General features: G+C 36.0%; 2 protein-coding genes across 31 annotated transcripts in view, besides 3 other annotated features; one reads left to right on the top strand and one right to left on the bottom strand.

Moving 5' to 3' along the window:
• PHF20L1 (PHD finger protein 20 like 1) overlaps positions 1 to 15,795 on the bottom strand; it is a 73,420-nt gene extending 57,625 nt beyond the window's left edge. For 15 of the 30 annotated variants that reach the window (NR_156424.2, XM_011517076.1, NM_001438309.1 and 12 more), the window contains exons 1-2: positions 15,538 to 15,795; positions 13,272 to 13,387 (exon numbers count right to left, since the gene is read on the bottom strand). Coding sequence is in view for 29 of the 30 variants with exons in the window: in XM_011517076.1 (XP_011515378.1) it covers positions 13,272 to 13,354 (83 nt within the window). In the remaining variant the exon portion in view is untranslated. Of the gene's footprint in view, positions 1 to 13,271; positions 13,392 to 15,537 lie in introns of all 30 variants that reach the window. The other 15 variants (XM_011517075.1, XM_011517077.1, XM_011517078.1 and 12 more) reach the window with 1 other exon arrangement.
• The window catches only part of TMEM71 (transmembrane protein 71), a 70,161-nt gene continuing 64,474 nt past the window's right edge, over positions 15,184 to 20,870 (top strand). The window contains exon 1 of the mRNA NM_001382397.1: positions 15,184 to 15,244. The gene's annotated coding sequence lies outside the window, so the exon portion shown is untranslated. The remainder of the gene's footprint in view (positions 15,245 to 20,870) is intronic.
• Positions 15,361 to 15,810: a silencer, noted in NCBI's record as "silent region_19558". NCBI's record gives its function as "represses an Ori minimal core promoter by ATAC-STARR-seq in GM12878 lymphoblastoid cells {active_cell/tissue: GM12878}" and the evidence as "EXISTENCE:reporter gene assay evidence [ECO:0000049][PMID:35858748]".
• Positions 15,361 to 16,066: a biological region, named in NCBI's record as "H3K27ac hESC enhancer GRCh37_chr8:133787363-133787864".
• Positions 15,565 to 16,066: an enhancer, noted in NCBI's record as "H3K27ac hESC enhancer chr8:133787363-133787864 (GRCh37/hg19 assembly coordinates)". NCBI's record gives its function as "activates a minimal SCP1, AML or CMV promoter by ChIP-STARR-seq in naive H9 embryonic stem cells {active_cell/tissue: H9 hESC(naive)}" and the evidence as "EXISTENCE:reporter gene assay evidence [ECO:0000049][PMID:30033119]".

The raw sequence follows: 20,870 nt of genomic DNA, 5'->3' as shown, positions 1-20,870 counted from the left end.
TACTATTGCAGGTACGTCAGGCTCTGTGTTTTTTACTTATTGAGTGCCAACTGTTCTTTCTATACGTTTTCTCATTTGATCTTGGTAATCATAAAAGGTATTGAAAACATAGTGTACATTTAACAGATGAAGACCTGTCTAAGAATACACATGGTGCAGCCAGTATTAAAAACCAAGACTAAGTGGCACAAAAGTCTGTAATCTATGCCAAAAGGAGAAATGGGATAAGGCCCATCTAAGTGATTATTTCATACATAGTAAAACTGGTAAGTGTATACAAAAACTGTATATAAGATGCTTTAATAGTCCATAGAAAATCTGGGAATTTACTGAAGGTTCTCGGGAGATGTTACTTAAGTTAGACTTGCTAGGGGACATATAGAATATAGACCTAATCAGCACAAAGTGTATACACAGAGCATAACTCATTTACTCAATGTTCACTTACTTAAAACCATCACATGACTCTGAGTTAGGCAAGCAGCCATGGAGGATTTCAAGATAAGTAGGATATGGTTATTTGTCCTCAAAGACCTCATGTTCAGAGATTGGAGGAGCACTTAAAGGAAAGAGTAACAGTCCTTTTGGCTAGACTACATGGTAAGTAGTAAAGCAGGTAAAGGAGACTAGTAAGACATCAGATGGGACTTGTTAGCCTGGTTGAAACTTGAAGGGCTTTGAAATAGCAAACTAATGAAACAATCCTTTATTCTACAGAAAACAGGGAGTGACTTAAAGTTGGTACTTAATTTGGTTACCAGTTACACTGCGAGAGGAAAAAAATCGTAATATCGAGATCTTTGCAATACCCGTGAAATGCATTAAATGGTAATTTAACATATAGCTTTGCACAGTGAAGTTATTTCTAGCAGATGGCTCATAGTAATGTTTTGATACATACAGTGAAGAAAAAACGCTGCTGAACACAAATGTATTCACAAATGCCTCTGTATACTGAACTACAACAATATGATTTTGATGCACTATTTATGTTTTATTCTAATTGACTGTGAATTAAACATAAGATTTTTCTGATTGAATTTGGAAGCTGTAGTGTTAATGTTGTTGTTTTGTCATTTTTTAAAGGTTGAATCATAGGAAGCTGTTAAATTAAAGAATAGTGATTAGGCACAATCCCAGACATTTATGAGTAATTTGGAAAAATATTCAAGAAGTGGAAGACTGAAGTTTCAGATTTTGAAGAGTCAGAGATAAGATGCCGATAACAATGATTAGAGATAAAGAGAAAAGAAAATAACCATAGCTGACATCTCTCAAGGGTTCAACAGAAAGAGATGGAGAGAAGGCAACTTCACTAAAAGTAGGATTTCTCAGTGCCAAAATTCTACATAGAGCTCTCTTACCCTTTAAATATTACTGCAATATACCATAAAATTTCTGCTATATCCCTTCCCTAATTCCACTTAAAACTTCATGCATTGTTTAAATGTTATCTACTTGTGTAGAAAATAATCACCTCCACCGCTGAGCCTATCTTGCTCTCTCGTATGTCTTGTATACTTGAATCCCAGGAAAGAGTTTACCCTCAGAAAACTAAACAAGAAAAATAATTCACTCTAAAATGGATTCTTCATTGTTTATTTGGCTTAATGGAAATGAAGAGCATTCCAAAATAGAGAAGACTTTAAAATGATTCTTGCTGAATTTAACAGAATTTTCACATACTCAATTCTACTAATCTCAACTGATTTCTTGAGGCACTTTCTGAATTCGTGTGGGACCCTTTTGAATTAAAGTCCTCTAATGGCCAAGTCAAACTATAGCCATAACTAGAGTAGAGCAAAGCCATCACCAAGAATAAAATTTTTTTCACCTTCTCTAAACTCCTATAGCATATTATTGCATTATCTGATATGTTGTCATTTTAACACTATGACTCCCACTTGTACAAGACTCTTCAGAGAGTGGCAGTATCTACAGATTCTGGACTAACACCATAATCTCATAAGAACAGAAACTGACCAAAGAGGTTAGCTATACAGTAAACATACATTATCAGTTCCCTGTTGTATCAACTCTTAAGTGTTATCAAAACATAAATATGTTTTGCTTAAAATTTATTTTTACATATTTTACAGAAATCTAAAATGGGAATTATTACCAGTGAATTCTTATTCTGGCTCACATTATTAACTGCTTTACATGGGCAGGTCTGGACTCACCCACTAGATCAGGAGACTGAATTCCCTGAGGCTGCATGCAAAATGCTATGTGCTTGGTGTAGATGTATATGGGTATTCTTTTGAGGTGAGAATTCCCAAGTTTAATCAGATTTTCAAAGTGGTCCACATTCACAAAACCAAAAACTTTTGAAAGACAAGATGATTTATTAACTCAAACTGTCAGCGCTTCATTATCCTAGGATAAAAGAGGGAAGCAATGGTGGGCATGCAGCTATGCCAGAAATATAATCTGATGGATTAATTTTAAAAATTTCTTTGCATTCAACATAGGAACATTAATACAATTAAACATCATTTGCATTTAAGGAATTCATTCTGATTTATCTTCTAATTTAAAATATATACCCAGATTTCTATCTGTATTGATAAAAAAAAAAAGTCAACCATGAGAAAATGACAAGGGAAATTAACTGATATAACCTAGAATCTCCTGCACTTAAGATAGAGTTGATAACTACCTCAATGACAGGTTGCAATCCACCAAGCAGGGCCAGAATATGCTGCCAAATGCCCTAAAGACCATGAGAATTCACGAAAAGATTTAGGATTTAACTAATTATTTGAATAAGCACCATATCAATCAAAATGGCAACATAATTTTATAAACTGCCTCAATAAGTTATTCAAATTATGTATTTTAAATAATCACTTTCTTGTTTATATGGATAAGCCAATAGGATGTCTAATTCATGTAAATTTAGAAATTGACAGTCCTCATTCATTTCATTTATTCAACAAAGAAAAAGAATCAAGTAAGTTAACACAATTCAACATAATGATAGCTAGTATAATAAAGACATTATGCTAGCACACAGAAAGAGTATCTGAACAAGGATGTTCTCTTGGACAAGGCAGTTCTTTATGTTTTAAAGGATAGTATGTATGAAATACACCTAAAATATGACTTAAACATAACTAAAATATTAGCAGAATCCTAGGGATCTAGGACTAACAATTCAAAATAGTTTTGTGGATAAGAACTTCATCTATAACTATGGTAGTCATAAAAATGACTAAAAGATTAGAAGAACTAGAAATAGAAGGGTAAGAGCTGTCTTACATCCAATTATTAGTGAGAGGATTATTTGCCAAATAACAAAAATTAACACAGAATGTAACCCAAAGCAAACAAAATATTCTTGTATCCTAGTTACCCTTTAAAAGTTTTAGTTTCCTGGTAGCACTTTAAATTTACATTAAGCTTTATAGTTTTCAAAAATGTTTTCCCATTCACCCATTGATTATAACTGCAATAACGGTATCACATACTACAATTACAGTATTTTAAATTCAGCACTTTTGGATACTGCATGTTCATTTGCTTCATACTTTAAAAACAACAAACCGAAAGCAAAACTCTTGATTAATTCAAACTCAATATTCCACAATGCAATGTTAATACAAAATAGTCTAAAAATTTCAAACCATTCAGATGATAGCTCATAGGTCAAAATTATATCTTCTCCAACACTGAAGTTTAAGAACCTCATCACATTATTTCTCAGGCCTTTTCAGACCTATTGATCCCCATAATACACATCTGGCATGAGCTGACAGTTCACCCTGCTTCCTACTTGTCCACAACTTTTACAACAAAGAGAAGAACAGAATTAGCTATGTCTTCTCTTTTAGAACCTTGTGGCAGGTACTTTGCAAATTAATGTATCACTTCAGATCACTGTATTTAAGTTCCTGTTCCTCTCTCCTCCCACCCCCCCAGCACCTGAATCCTGCCATGCCTATGTTCACTCTCACTGTCAGTTCTAACCAAATCAAAATACCTGTACCATATCCTTTGTACTCACTACCTTCTCCCACCACAAGCATCCATTAGACCACAGAGAATTTCTTTCCTACGCCACTAAAACATGATCTTCCTGTCATCAGTATTTGACTCAAAGTTTACGAACTTCATACAGTTTTTTCAAGCTACAACTACTTAATGGTGCTAGCAAAACTCAAAATCTAGCAGGTTGCAATCACCCAGTTCTATTTCTTAACATTTAGCACTTTACAAAAAACTTTACTACAGATAGTTAATTTGTTTATATGCCTACTGATTAAAGTCTGATGAATTTACATCAATTCCTCCTGCATTTGGCTCTACCTTCTTAAAATAACGAATGTTCATGTTATTGTTATGATTAAAACTAATGTTTATGTGCCTACCATGTGGCATATAACATGCATTATTTTGCTAAAATCCTCAAAGAACCCTTTAAATGAAGTACTAATATTGTTACCAGTTTTTAAAGGGAGGTCATGGAGGCTCTGAAAGATTCAGTAACTTGCTCATGTTAAAAGAGGTAATGAATGGTGGATCTTTGAACTGAGGTATTCCTGTCCATAAAGACCATGCATTCAATCATTACAGATTCTGCATCTTGCAACTGATGAGTTTCAGTTCCTATTACATTTATGGCAGTGTTTCAATATAGGGGGCTCTTACCAAAGATGTATTAAAAACAGATAAAACAATACAAAAATCAAGTTATCTATTTTTTTCTTAAAATTTTACTTTTAATCTCTCATATACAAGAAGCATGCCTAAAGTTGGTTTGTGTTAGACCAAAGAGTATGGAAAATAATTGTACAAAATAAATATCCTCCACGCATAAAATTACTAAGCAAAGATAAGAGGCTGTTTTATTATTAAAATGTCTCAAAACAAAAGGGCACTACATCTCAACTATGACTAAGTATGATACATCACATTATTAAAATTAAATAATTGGAGTAAAGAAAGTAGCTTAACTTTCATCACGTTTGAAACTCATAAATTTTTAAATTAAGAGGAAATCTTGGATATGATATGTTACAGAACTAAGGAAAACAAAAAGTGATTTTAAAAATAAATTACATTTGCTAATCTAGGTTAACAAATATCATCTTATGTTTAGTTTTCAATCCAAAAGTCACAATGTATTTGCCATAATTTTCTGAAATGGTAACTAGGTTATTTCAAGATATCCCAAAACTTTTGTCTTCATTCATCCTTTTTAAACCCAACAAAATTCAGTAAACTTTGCTGGGCACCTTTTATGAGTAAGTTACTATGTTAAGGCCTTGTAGATACACCATTTCATATAAGTAGCTTATACTTCAGTACCCTAGCTAATCATGATGTACCAGAAATAAATTTATTTCTAATTCATGGTAACTTTTTTGGCAATAAGAAAACAGACTTTCAAGACACTCTGAATATTAAGTAAATATCTATACTCTTCCTTCAACTTTACTGCAACAATCCTCTCAAAGTTGAGGTAATTATAATTACTGAAATAACATAATACTTGCATACCAATTTCTAATTTAATAAGAAGTATATTCTTATGTGCTAACCATCTGTAGCAAGAAATGATAGGGAGTGGTCAACACTTCTTCAAAATATACAGTTACAGTAAAAATACTAAAAAACTGGGACCTTAATGAAGAACAGCAGAACTAAGCTGTCTTTTCAATATTCCGTTAATTTCTTTTAAAAATTGTACTACTGATATTCAAAACTTAAAATTAAAACTAGTATTTTCTCCCTCAGCTTAAAAGAAATCACTTAAAACCAAAATTAAAAACAGAAGCATCTGCAGATGCCATTTCTGTCTACTCAGCAAAACTAGAATTGCAAAACATTCTTTTTAGTAGAGTTAACTACCACAACAGATAAACTGTTTCCCAGCTAGTGGCTTTCATCAACCCCCAACTAAAAAATAAACCATTATCTAATGTGATGTGACAGTGTGAAATCTCATAATACATAATAACATTCGGCAGGAATGATGTAACAAATAGGGAGCTGGATGTGTGTGATACGTGATGGCTGGACTTCAACCAAATGTCAGATAAGCAAATAAAACGGTCTTTTCTCTTGTTCCAACCCTTGCCACTATACGATCACACACACATAAAGCACAGCACAGTAAGCCTGAGATTCCTGGACTTTACCCTCATTATAAATTGATGAAGGAGGCTAAGAAATCATCAGCTTGGAGGTTTGATTATGAAGTAAATTTAGGAGGAAAGCTCTCTAGGATGGATAAACTTGAAATTTACCTACCTTGCTCAAGCTCTCTAATTCCAATGAAAAAGAGTGGCATAGGCTTGCCAGACTTTCAGGGCCCTTCTAGATGCCAGACATATACTCACAACTACAATTGGTCAGAAACTACGGTGGCCCGTGAACACTGAGCCCATTTAGTTAACTGAGGCGCAAAGCTTTAGGAAATCTATGCAAGACAATGGGTTATAGTGGAGAGATCACTATATTGGGAGCCAAAAGGTTTCATGCCCAATATAGTTATATTCCAAATAGCTCAAACCTCTATATTTTTTCCAAATTATATTCAGTTTTCTACATTTTTCTCATTTTCTCCTCTAGTAGCCAGCAGTTTTGAACTACCTATGACTTTTTGTCTATCTTACCTCTGCCTCAAGTTTGTGTTATTTACCCATCTAAAAGTATGATTTAAAAAAAAAAATCTGTCATCCCTGAATAGGTGAAAATTGATAAAATGAAATTGAGTTTGGAATTCAACTGCACCTGAAAGATCATCTAAACTGTAAGACTTTCATTTCAAGGTCATTAAAGCAGAGAAATACCTCTCCAAAATCACATAGTTCATGGCAAAATAGCACTTAAAATCCATATTTTATGACTTCCAGTTTAATTTATTTTTTCCAATACTTTTGTTTTTCAAAAAAACTAGGATAAGCAGAAAAAGCTTATAAACCAGAAAGAGTTCTATAAAAAACGAATTAACATAAAAAAAGGAAGAACACTAGAGCAAGAACAACCCGAAACCAGGTGTGTTTTCAAATAAATAAGTCTTCTCTGTCCCTAAATCATGCTTTTCACATTTTTGGAGGGGTAGAGGGAAGCTTTCTTATATTTAGCATTGTTCAAAGGAATTTACGGGGCTTTCTTTTGTGGAAATTTTAAAAGTTAAAGAAGTAAAATGTTTGTGCACTGGTACAAATCTGCTTGATAATTAAACTGGATGATTCACTTTGACCTTAAGATTCAAAATTTGTGACTATCTAAATGTAAATTATCTCAGAATTTTTAAACAAAACTTACAGATTTCAAATGAATTGTCTGCAAGAAGGGTCCTTAACCTAGAGGTCATGTATACGTTTTCTATGAACTTATGACCATAGTATGTAATTCATTTATTTTGATGTATACATACAACTGTATATTTTTTCTAAGTCTACAGCTGGCATTGGTTTTCAAAGGTAATGACTCAAAATAATAATCATTACTTTCTATGTATAGACAAACTGAAAGAATCCCAAATTATGAAAAGACAAAAACTGCATGCATATTAATATTAGCAAAAGAACCTCTATTTTTGAAGTATTCACCTGGTGTTCCTACAATGCTATATTTGATCTACATGTTACACTTTAGGACCATTCTCCTACTCTAAATATAGATGACACAACTTATCTCTAGTAGCATTTTCCTTTGAATAGTTAAATCTAATTAGAAAAAAAGTAACTTTTTATTCAGAAAATGTATAATTTTATTTAAATTAACAAGTATTTGTACTTGCTACAATGTAAATTTCCTTAATTCTCCTATACTATTAAAATTCTGCACGAACATCTTAAAAACTCACATTTGCAAATGTTCCATACAGTTCAAAAAACTTCAAATGTGTGAAAACAGCATTTGCCAATTCAAATTTATACTGTTCTATTAAACTCTGATACTTGGAGATATCTCCACATTTTTTAATCTTTCATTTTCCTTTTCTTTAGATTTAGAAGAGAATTAAATAGAAATATTCCAAAAGAGTCAGAGGAGCATATCTCATCTGAATGTTTTAAATTGACTCTATATTTCAAATTTATTTTAAGATTAACACCACAGCATGTTATTTAATCTCTTGTGTTTTTGTAACAATCGCTTACTGTAGAATAACTATTTTAATTTCAATCAAAAAACAGGAGTTAAATCAGTAGTCAACGCCAGTGTGATTTTATCAGTTTTCTTACTAAACTATATTCAGAATGATTAGATACTTTAATATTTGCAAGCAAACTCTATAAAACTCTGTGGAAACATGAGGATTTTATTATCACTTCAAAAAGACTGTCTACAACTTTGGAAGAACAAGACAGATGGAAAAACTGCTTGAGCCCATGAGTTCAAGACCAGCCTGGGCAACACAGAGAGATCGCTTTCTCTACCAAAAAAAAAAAAAGAAAAAGAAAAAGAAAATCAGCAGGTTACTATGGCATACGCCTGTAGTCCCAGCTACTTGGGAGGTTGAAGCAGGAGGATGGCTTGAGCCCCGGGAGGTAAAGGCTGCAGGCTGCTTCAAGTCATGATCTCGTGACTGCACTGCAGCCTGGGTGACAGTAAAACTTTGTCTCAAAAAAAAAAGGAAAAAGAAAAAAGTGTCATCAGCTTGTTGCAATGAGATGTTTTGCCTTCTATGATTCCAAGCCACTCTCCTGTCAACTAAAGCTACCTTTAAAAACTCAATCACTTAACTCTTCAGATCCCCAAAGATTTACTTTTCTATTCTCCCTCTCCCCTTGCATTTACCTCAATGCTTTATGATTATGTACCCATCTGTAGAACTTAAAGCAATACATAATTTTATTTGAACCTTAAAAACCAACCTCTAAATAAAAGCCAGTAATACTGCTTCCATTTTACTGCTAAGAAAACCAAGTTAAAGGACTTACCCATATTTACAGGATTAATAAGTAACAGTCTGAATTTAAACCCACCCGCTTACAGTGTCTCCAATATAACTTCAACTCTCAACTTTCTCCTTCCCCAAATATACTTCTGTATCAACACACCTATACTCATTTTTATTCTTATGATGTTACTACCTTCCAGAGATTATAAAACTGAATATCAAGGTTTGGATGCACAGAGTTTGTGGTGAAAAACATGAAAATAAGATAAAAAATAGTTGACTGTGCTAGCTGTAAACATTAGCACGTCAAAGTCTTTATGCAGATGATTGAAAAAGTTAAAAGAAAATGTTTTTAAAATATTGTAAAGCTATAATATTTTTAAAAATTAAAACAGCCCACACTACTCAGGAGTTATGTTTGGTCAGTGTAGGAGAGATCCAATTATCAAAAAGCAAATACTGGGACTAAGATGACTGACCTCTTGATGGCTTCTCAGGGCCTGTGTCCATTAGTACTGATAAATAAACCACCAATGAGTGTTCTTATGTAGCTATAAAGTTACTTTGAAAATAAAAATAAATCACTACTTTAGGCCTGGCGCAGTGGCTCACGCCTGTAATCCCAGCACTGTGGGGGACTGAGGCAGGCACATCACAAGGTCAAGAGATGGAGACTATCCCAGACAACATGGCGAAACCCCATCTCTACTAAAAATACAAAAAAAAATTAGCTGGGCATGGTGGCGTGCGCCTGTAGTCCCAGCTACTCGGGAGGCTGAGGCAGGGGAATCACTTGAACCTGAGAGGCGGAGGTTGCAGCGAGCGGAGGTTGCAGTGAGCCAAGATTGCGCCACTGAATTCCAGACTGGCGAAAGAGCAAGACTCTGTCTCAAAAAAATAAATAAAATAAGATAAAATAAAAATAAATAAATCACTACTTAAAAAGGTACAATGCATTTTCAAAGATAAGGTATCTTTCTGATCTGTAAGAATTATACGATATGGTTTATTCAAGCAATAATAACATACTTTTCCTGAGAAACACAGATTGAGTCTTCCTGTTAAATCAAATCTACCCCAAAGCTAAAAGTGAGAGCTTAACTTCAGATTATTTCCACCTACTAAATTTAGAGTTTATCCTTTTATGTCTAGACACATACCAGAAACTATTTTCCTTTTTTATATATGAGAAACCAGCCAGGAGTACACTTTGGGAGGCTGAGGTGGGAGGATCATTTGAGGCCAGGAATTCCAGACCAGCCTGGGCAATACAGTGACACTTCATCTCTACAAAAAAAATTTTTTTTTAAATTAGCCCAGACTTGTGGTGCACACCTGTAGTTCCAGCTATTCAAGAGGCTGAGGTGGCAGGATAGCTTGAGCCCAGGAGGTAGAGGTTTTAGTGAGCCAAGATCACGCCACTGCACTCCCAGCCTGAGAAACAGAAAAGACTCTGTCTCAAAAAAAAAAAAAAAAAAGCAAGAAAAACCTTTAATAGGCATTTTGGGTTCTTCACTAGCACCACTTTCCTTTTGCACTTCTCTTCAAAAGGTGATTTATCAACATGTGATAAGTTAGTTTCTCAGTAATATACTGCTTATTGTAAATGTTTTGAGTATAGAGACAGTAAGCAAGATTTGCATTCCTGCTCCTCCCTATCCAATGCCCATAATAGTTCAAACTACATTTATCTCAAAGATGACTCAATACTTTTCAAAGAGAATTGAATAAATTTGGAAGACTAAGCATTCAATATGGATGCAAAAAATAGAATATGAAAGAAGGGAAAGAGAAGAGTGGGAGAAGAGGGAGAAAAGAAATTTCTGTATATTTTCAATGATTAACTATAATATTTTGCTTCTCACAAGAATGTCAGTTTCTTGTCAAATAATTCTATAATTTTACTTAATATTAATGCAAAAATTTACAGAATTTCCATGAAATGTAAAATGGTCATTTACAAATGGAATAATATGAAGAATTAAGTTTATTATCCTATTTATAAATAAAATGTTAAGAGCACTAATCTCAGAACTTTTGTGTCCCATATAAAATTCAATACATCTTAGTAATTAAATAGTTGGTCCAAGAGCACACCACCTAATACTAAATTTAAGGGGCACCTAAGCCTAACTAGTTCTTGAAACTACTGACATTAATAAGCAAAATTACCATAAGAAAATTATTTTTGTAAATTACCTAGAATACATATATACAATATTCTTAATCCTTTTTTAAATAAGGAGCCACCTGAAACAGAGTGCCAAAATCTTTATATAAATCAGCTTATAAAAATAAAACTGATAACAAGTTTCAGTGATAATATGTGATTATCCTGGCTAATGCTTATTTCCATTAAAGAGAACTATTATTACCAGGGTCATTAAAATTAAATCTAAACTTCATCAGTGAGTACATTTGCATGACACCGCTCAAATAAGCACATATGAATTTTGTGGCAAGAAGATACAACTTTCATTTGTTCTCTGAAATTCCAAGTATTCTAAAAACACAGAATACTCTAAAAGTACATTCAAGCATGGTTTTAAAAGTTCTTTTTTGTAGTCTTTTGAACTACTGGATCATAAATTTAACAGCTCCTAAGTTAGAAAACATTTTACTACTGAAAGAAAATTTCTCACTAATATCAAAGTTATATTAATATCCCTGAAAATTACTGACAGAACTAATCAACTATGTGTTTCTCCAAAACTGGAAGCTAGCTCAACTGCAACACCGTCAGTTGGGAAGCCTAATATATTAATATGAATTAAATAAGTCACAAAGTCAGTAACTTAAAAAATAAATAAATCACTTAAGAGTAATATCAAAGAAGTAACAAGTATTATTTCTTATACCCTTGTATCACACAGACATTCAGTAGTATGCCTTTGGAGTAAAAAGCTTCTCTTGGTCAAATGAGAACCAAGATAGACAAGTGCTGCCTCAACTGGCATTTTCTGTTGCATGGTCTAATGCTGAGTTTCTCAATCATTTTTACCGCCACCCACCCTCATTCCAGTTGTCATTTGGCAATGTCTGGAGACATTTTGATCGTCACTAGGAGAGATGCTACTGCCTAGTTCCCAGGTACTTCCCAAACCCCTCCTAAGAATTACCATGTACATTCTTCACCTAGTGACAGTATCGATTAACCTCCCCATCTCAAATTGTAGCTTCAAACTGTCCTAAAGTGGAGCTCAAAACAAGAGGTCATTAAGCTGGGGTCAGAGATATGTGCCAAGCTCTAACGCCAGATGTTAAAAGAGAGAAACCCCAGCCTGGTCTATACAGTCAAATATTATGACTAAACAAGATTTCTCTGCCTGCCATTGCCAACTCGGGAAGTTGACTTAATACAAATCAATCAAAAGTAAATCTACAAAATGCCCAGTATGGTTTTAAATCAGAGAAAATGTCAAAAAGTCTGGGAAAGTCCAAGAGCTGCTAAACAAGAACTCGCATCAAAATAAACGGGCTTCAGGAGGAGCAAAGGCAGCATCCCTCCCAGAAGCGGAACCCCTCTAATGCCCCTCTCAGGTTAGGAGCCTGCAAATGGCAACAAAAGACATCTGCCAAGACAGCAGAATGAGGGGCCAGTTAACCCAAATGAGGAATACGCTCCTTAGGAGAAAGGAGAATCCTCCTCATTCCTACTCTGGCCCAGGGACCCCTGCATGTAGCTTCCCCTTCTCTCCTTTCCAGATAGTAGTTTTATACCAATTCATCAACTTTTCCTAACCACTGTATAAAGGCTATGTTGGGAGGTGTTTAAATTTACCACTTACCACAATGGCCAGAATAGGGGGAGACACACAAGTTCTGAAAGGACAGCCTATTTTGCACTGGAGACAGTAACAACCTGCCTTTAGGTTAAGGCCCACCAGGGAAAATAGGAGGTTAAGTGTGATTTTGGTTTTAGGTGAGATAATGAATAGTGGAGATGTTTTTGAAAGTGTTCACTATGAAAAAATGCTATGCTAACCATTAATATACTCTGTAGTTTGAAAGACTACCACTGACAGACCAAAAATACCAATTTAAATCAAAATTTATCCAAAACATGAGAAGTTGGTTCTCTGGATTACTCCTCTCTCTACTTCCACCAATACAGCTCATGTGAGGTATACATGAGGTATACATAAACCGCATACTCTAGACAATTATTTTCATTTCTCAAACACCAAAAATGATTGTTCTAAATAATTTAGTCAGTTGACTAAAAATAGTTTTTAAATGCTAAACCTAAAAAGCCTAAAGAGTAGGAAAACTAAAAAACAACATATATGTGTAATCGAAATGTGAATACACTGATGTTTCTGCTACCATCAGTGGAATTTACTGTTTTAATTAACATATGTAAGGCTACAGATATTGTGATATTTAGGTGAAAGTTCTATATTTTCCATACCATTTTTGTAAGTAGTCCAGTGCCTCCAAACGAGCACCAATCTCAAAAGTGATTCCAGGGCGATTTGGGGGCTTTTTACTCATCTTGAGATCCTATTCTTCAGTATTCTCTTTTCACTACCTCAAGAGAAAGAAAAAAGTTAGATTCCAATGCAGAAAATGCATAGGAAGTAGAGTATAAGGGAACAGGTCAAATTAAAATTAAACAGAATTTCTAAAACAATACATGAGAATATGAAATACTTGCCAAATTGTTAAGAAATTTGAAGGAGTATTACCAACATCTCTATATAAAGTTCTGTGCAATCTGCAGGCAATCTTGATAATGATTTAAGAAAAAGAACAAAGAAAACTATCTAAAAAGAATGAGTAAATGGACTGTTAAAAATTGTTAATAGCTAAAAATGCTTTACATTTGAGCTTCCAGATACCCAAGAAAATTCTCCACGGGGAGAGCTGAAAATGCTTTCCTGCCTTTGAAAAATTAAGACAGCTGAGTGTTCTGGAATAGGACTACTGAAATTCTTGAGAACAAAATCAATTTTTAATTTCAACAAATATTTGTTGAGTGCCTCATAATACAAAACACTAGATAAGGCCCTACAGCACACAAAGATGGAGGAAACAGTAGGCACACTCCTCTGCCAGTGAAGATACCACTAATTCCTCTTGGGATTAGGATTTTTCATTACCCATGATCTCCCACCTTGGTAGCACATAATTCAATAATTTTAATTTAACATACAGTATTACAAAAGAGACTGCTTTCTTATACTTTACATTCAACAAGCAATAATAACATGCTTTTGTTAACTGAGTATTTCTACTATATTTCAATTTAGACAGTGTCCACATTGATAATAAAAGTGGTTGTAATGCTAGAACAAAAACTGCAAAGGAGTACCTATGTATCCCTAGGTCATTCACATGCAAAGTACTATATTTTGGGCCACAGTGGCCACCGAGCACACTTGAGGTGGCCTCTTTTTCACTAATGGGTATGTGAGGAATATGAATACATTTTGAGATAACCTAATCAAAACATAACTCATAATTAAGAATGTAAATTGATTGTTATCAGGGGCGAGGAGAGATCCGTAAAATGTCTTTCGGTATTTGAGATCACTAATGACTATGTTCCCTACAGTTTAAAAAGAAAAAAAGAAACACACACACTTGTCATCTTTTATAATGGTTTTGTCACAATTCATAATAGACAAAATAGAACAACAAACATAAAATTCCAACTGCTCCCTCTTTTCTCTTTGAAAGAGTCTGATAGGTAAGGGAAAAAATAGCATCAATACTGGCCATGAAAATATGCGAACTCAAATACCCATGGTTGGAGGGGGAGAGTGGGTATCCTCCTGCTATGGTATAAGCAAATATTAGAGCATTAAAAAGTTAACAGGGAGCTTGCCCAGGGTGTAGCTGGTGCAAAAGAACAAATGTATGAATATTTTTAATAGAGGTCTTGTCAGTGCGCAACACGTAAGGCAGTTACTTAAATGTTTGTGTAGAAATCGAATCAACCTTTTCTGCTGTCTGTCACAGGAAGAATTCAGTAAGGGATAGTTCACAAGGTACACTAACATCTAGAATCAAACTTAGAGCCCATAATTAAGTGATGGATTGAATGAGTATAATCCCCCAGTGACACTTAGGGATGAAGTACCAGAAAAAAAACAAGATTTTCCTTTGTCTTAGGTTCGAAGAGGGAAGGATGAAGAGGGATTTGAATTAAGGAACTTTCATAAAGTAAGACAGTCTACTGGGAGTAAAACTTGAAGCAAAAACAAGGCAGAAAGCACGGAGAGGAGTAAAAACAGTAAGGAAAGGAGCAAAGAATGGCAAGAAATAGGACAGTGGAAGTTTTCGGAGATGACAAGTTAGAGGGAAGAAGAAATGAGCAAGAAGACATAGAGACCGACAATGTAAAGCAATGGTCAGAGAATGACCGCCAGGCCAAAAAAGGTGAGGAGGTGAGGCCAGACAGAGAGGGGGTGGCACGAGACAGGCAGGAAAGGCTGACAGGGCTGGCAGGGAGCTGGAGAAGCCTCCAGGTTTGACAGCCATCCGGCCCTCCGCAGGGGGGTAAGGAAGGGAGGGGAAGAGGGAGCTGCGGCGCCCAGACAATAGGGCCGGCGAGTTACGGGGAGGGAGGCGGGAGGGGAGCGGGCCGGAAAGAGAGACACCAGAATGGGGGCGTCCCGGGCGGCCCGGCGGGGGCCAGGCGGCCTGCCGGCTCAGCCGCCGCCGCCTCTTACCGACTCGGCCTCCTCTCTGCACAGCAGCCGGGCCGTCCGGGGCCGAGCTGGGGCACGAGCAGGGCGGCCAGCCCGGGCCTCTGCCTCTGCCTCCGCCCAGGCAGCGGCCGGGGAGGGAGCAGGAGCGGAGCGAGCTGGGGCCGCAGCGCCGGATCCGCCCAAGGTTTCGCGGGAGGGAGCTGGGTCCGAGCCCTCAAGCTCGCTCAGGGTCCGCTGCCATCGCCGCCGCCGCCGCCGCCTCCGCCGCCGGCCAGCCCTGACGCGACGCCGGGCCCCGGCGACGTCAGCCGCCCGCGACGTGCCGGAAGCGGGCCTGGCCTTGTCACGTGACTCACGAGGGTTGGGCCCGGGCCGCGCAGCCGATTGGCGGGCCGCCGTAGGAGGCGGGGCTTTGCGGTCGTTGACGGACCGCTAGCGGGCGGGGCTCTGGTTACTGGAGGAAAGAACGCGAGCTCTTGGTGCCTATTGGTAGTTGTGAAGTATTTGACCTTTGAGATTTGAGGACGAAGGGCATTGTTTATTATTCTTGATTCGTTGGGAACCACGTCACCAAAACCCCTTTACCCAGGACCCTTGGCAAACTTTTTCAAATGCATTACATGCTTTCTTAGATATCCATCCCACTCCACATCAAGAATAGAGCATGGTTACTACTACAAAATCAATAAACCTCCCTTGAATGGATGCTTTGTGATAGACACTAGGCTGTAAATATGTCACATGACAATCACAACTGTACAACTGTATTACAATTGTATTGCTTTCCAGTCTTGGAGATCTTTACAATACAAAGACGAATATTACTAAGATGTGTGTACGCGCGTGCTCAGGCACAGCTGAATAACCTTAACCTATGGCTACATTGATATCACTTCCCCAAGACTACACAGCTAATGATAGCAGAACTGCTTTTATCGAATACCTACCCTCCCAAACTTTACTAAGCACAGGAGACAGTATCCTTGCTGTGGGGAGAAACCAATAAGTGAACACATTGAAAATAATATTGAAATGAAACATCTTTTTTCTCTTGGTTTCCACTGTACCACTCTGGTTTTCAAGTGCAACGTTGCATACAAATGTCACTTATATTTATCTTGCTTCATAGTGTGGAGTTAAAATAGCAAAGTAACTCTCTTTAAGCTTCAGTTATAGTAAGATTTGGTAAATTAAACAATCATTCTTTTTTTATTCAACAAACATTCATTCAGCATCTACTAAGTCACTAATAGCTACTGAGCTAGACTGAGCATGGTGATACATAGAAAAGATATAAATAAGACAGTCTCTAGTGGATATTTGTTATAGAAAAGATATAAATAAGACAGTCTCTAGTGGATATTTGTTATCTTGTTTTTTGGTTGCCCAGCATCTCAACTCTCTTTCCATGTTTGAGAAATTTCTCATCATGGTTGCATTAGTTCAGAACACCAAATACTTGTAGCATCTTCCTTAGGACATGACAGGATTATACTTTCCACCCTCCTTAGAATTATGTATGGCTATTTGATTTGCTTTGGCTGATAAAATGTAATTAGAAGTGAGATTTGTCATGGCCAGTTGGTAATTTTTAATGCCAGCTCACCAAAGTTTCTGTCTCTGGCACAGTGTAAAGCACTGCTTGAGATGATAGCTGCTCTACCATCCAGGTTCTAGACAGATTATGATGAACCAAGGCCTCACTGATAATCTACAACTACTGTGTTGTATAAGGAAAAAAATAAATATTTATTATTTTAACTATGGAGATTTGGGTGCTGGATTGTTTGTTACATGGCATAATCCTACCCAAACTAAATGATACATCCACCTTATGAATCTTGGATGCAGAATCAACCTCCCACTAAATAAGATGAAAATATCAGAAACTCATGTTTCCAGTCTCCCTTGCAGCTAAAGTTCTAGCCTCAAGTAAAACTCTTTTACCAAGGACTTTGTATCAGAAGTTGCTAATGATGTTCAAAATAAGGAAACTTTTCTCCCACATCTGTGGCAGTACCAGTATTCAAGTTTCTGATGGTCAGCCTGGAGTTAAATCTTTCTGAACTCTGGCAGAACCCCTGCTGAATCACAAGCTAGTGACTGAGAAAAAATAAATATCTATTATTATACACCACTAAAAACTTGAGGTTATTTGCAATTTAAATAAAATACATACATAAAGAACAACAGATTCTGTCCATTCTCCCAACTATTTGTTGAGAATCCACCCTGGAAAGATGATTGTTCCATTTTAATTGGAACTTGACAATGGGTCTTCCAATAATGACACTTGAAAGAAAAAAATAAAATAAGGTCTTATGTAAATGATCCCTAGCTTCAGTGAATTGTATAGGCTTAGTAATCCTCTGTGGAGTTAATACCGTCCCCTAGAGGGCACTTTGGAAATGGAGGATGGTATTTTATTGTCTCAGGATTGGGGTAGGGCACTGCTACTATTTAGTGGGAAGGGACCAGGGCTGCTAGATATCCTGAAATGCACAGTGCAGTTCCATACCTTGAAGAATTGCCCCAGGTCATGCATGACTTCTAGATGTCCTTCCAGACATTCATGTAGGTGAAAAACCTGTTTATAATTGTCCCTGCCTAGAACTGCATTTCACATATAAGTATTTTTGGAAGGTTTTAATATACATTAAATTTTACAGGAATGAAGCAACTGTGTAATGTAAGGAAACACTGACCTTTTTTCTGAACATTATCAAGAGTCTATCTCATTTTAAAATATCATGCCACCAACGGCTAATTACTCATAGTATTTGAGGCACTGATAGAATGCACCTGTGTCAGTCTAGTTGCGTAGCTGTTACATTTAGGGAAATCTAAATTTAGATACAAGCACCTCACTACTTCATTATATATTTCTGTGATACATGGATGAATGTTAAGTATTGAAATATATATGATTTTTATGAATTATTTTCATAAATTTTTTATATTATCATAGTCATATTGATTTTTAAGTATATATGTATAGCTTGGTTATGTTATTTATGAAGTTAATTTTGGGAAGTGGAGAGGGTGTGAATATAATATTGACTCTAAAAGGAAGGCACTAAGCCTGATAAAACTGACAAAAAATTCAGGTAGGATGTCATTTCCTCTTTTAACCACATAGAGTCAAAGGTCAGGATCAGAGTAGGGATACAGGATATACAAAATTCTAGTACTGACTCCCTGGCCATGTAGTGAAGCCGTGCATTGATCTGTCCCTTCTCCTCTCTTCCACCCAGCACACCCTGTTCCAGATGGTTGATGCCCAGCCATCAGTCACTCCATCTCCAAATATAGAAAGAAAGAACTTACAGCTGTGTTTGAGCAGAACCAAACAAGCAGTGAGCAAATTATCTTGAAACAACAGTTGTTAGGCAGAAATCACTGAACTAAATTCCTCCAACATTAAAAATATGAATATGGAACCATAATGTCTCCTGGAATATTTAACAAATGTATACCTATTTTAAGGTAGGAAAAAAAGTTACTACTAAATACCAGATACTCCTTGATTACAAATAAAACACAAGATAGCTATTTTTTGTGTGTTTACTTAATATTTACAATTAGCATTAGTAAAGAAAATCAAAGCAGTTCAAGTTTTTTTTAAGGTTAGTTTAGCAGAAACGTAAACTACTGTGATAGCCTCTGTCAAATCTCTTCATTCCATGTGCATAAAAATCTTTGAAAATAGCACTGACATCATTTTCCTCACCTGCCAAAGAGCTCACTTATCTTTCCTCTGTCACCATATCCCTTTATCAACTGAACAGAAATTATAGTTATTCCAGAATTAATCCCTGGCAATAGGAGCTCTAGGCCATGTATGAATTGGCAGAGATGTCATCTCTCCCAGTGTTCCCGCAGCATTTTTTTCACCTCTCTAATGTATTCCTCACTGTGATTCGTAGGTTTATATTCCACTTTCTTAGAATGAGCCAACTCTAAGGATGATAGGGTGTTCCAGATTACTTTAAACATACTTATATATACAAATAAAATAAAGAAATATGATGTTATTAAAGTAAATAATAATACATATATATTATAAATACAAAGTACATAATATTGAAGTAATATATATTACTTTGATATATATGTATATATGTAAGTTTATGTGTTACTCAGTTTACATGTTACTCAGAGCCACATGGATCTCTGAGATTTTTAAAACTTTTAGGCTTGGCAATAATGATTCTAAGATATCAAAGTCTCTGCTACTAAGGGTCATAAAATAGAAAAAATATGTATGTCTATTTCAGCAAATGCAGCAAGAGAGACAAAGAACTCTTTTGTGTGTGTGCAGATTACCATGAAGCAAGAGAGTGAACAGAAAATTTATCATCCAACCCTGAACACTTTTGAGAATGGAAGGAAGGGCTATTAATAATTATACCAGAATGACAGGTGGATCCTGGACAGTTCCAGACAAACGGAGATATCTGGTCATGACACATAAAGCAGGAAGAAATAATCATGAGAAATTAGTAAAGATTTTATAAATAGAAGTACATTGAATATGGAATCCACTCGTGATACTGCAAAGGATTTTCACATTTCTGATTTAGGACAAAGGATGGTCTCTGCTTCCTGCTGCTATGTGATACTTTGCACCTCTCCTGATTTTTATCATTGTTAACTAGTGTCTCTTGCATTAACTATATCAGTATTTCTCAAGCTTTGGTCTGCCAATTATCTGCATTATGGAGATGTGCATATGGCTCAGGGGCACTGTTTTAACAAGATGGTCTGTTAAAATGCAACACTGTTTGATAAAATTCAAGTTCCTGGGCCCTGATTTATATCTTAGGTTTGGGGACTGGAAATCTGCATTTTAGCAAGCTACCCTAAACAATTCATACGTACATGAAATATTCAGACCCGCAGTGTGTGAGGATTCTTTTTGTCGCATGTAACAGAAAATTTTATGAAAACAGGCTTAAGCAAAAAGGGAATTTTTCAGTTTGGGGAGTTAATAGAAGATAAGGAATAAGTCTGCCTTCTGTGTGAGTTTGATTCAGTGAAAAATTATAACATCTTTCACTCTACTTCTTAAGGTTTAGCTTGATTCTGGGGATCCCCAACAGCTTAAGACATTACAGCATCCTGGCGACCGTAAAAACAAATACTAGGAGTCTTTCTCTCACTGGCTGAGATAAAGTTAGGTGCCTAAATCTGAACCAAGTATGGTGGCCATGGGGATGACTTGTACTGATTCGGCTTAAACTGGGTTCCTATTCCTATCAGGCAGGTAAGCGTGAAGACTGGTCCAAACCTCGTGGACTGAGCGATGGGAATGAGTGGGTTCTTTAATGCAAAATTCGAGTGCTGTTACTTAA

This window comes from Homo sapiens, chromosome 8 (assembly GCF_000001405.40).
Source record: "Homo sapiens chromosome 8, GRCh38.p14 Primary Assembly".
Lineage (NCBI taxonomy): Eukaryota > Metazoa > Chordata > Mammalia > Primates > Hominidae > Homo > Homo sapiens.
The sequence above is the reverse complement of the archived record's forward strand: the minus strand, read 5'-3'. Positions and strand labels throughout refer to the sequence as shown.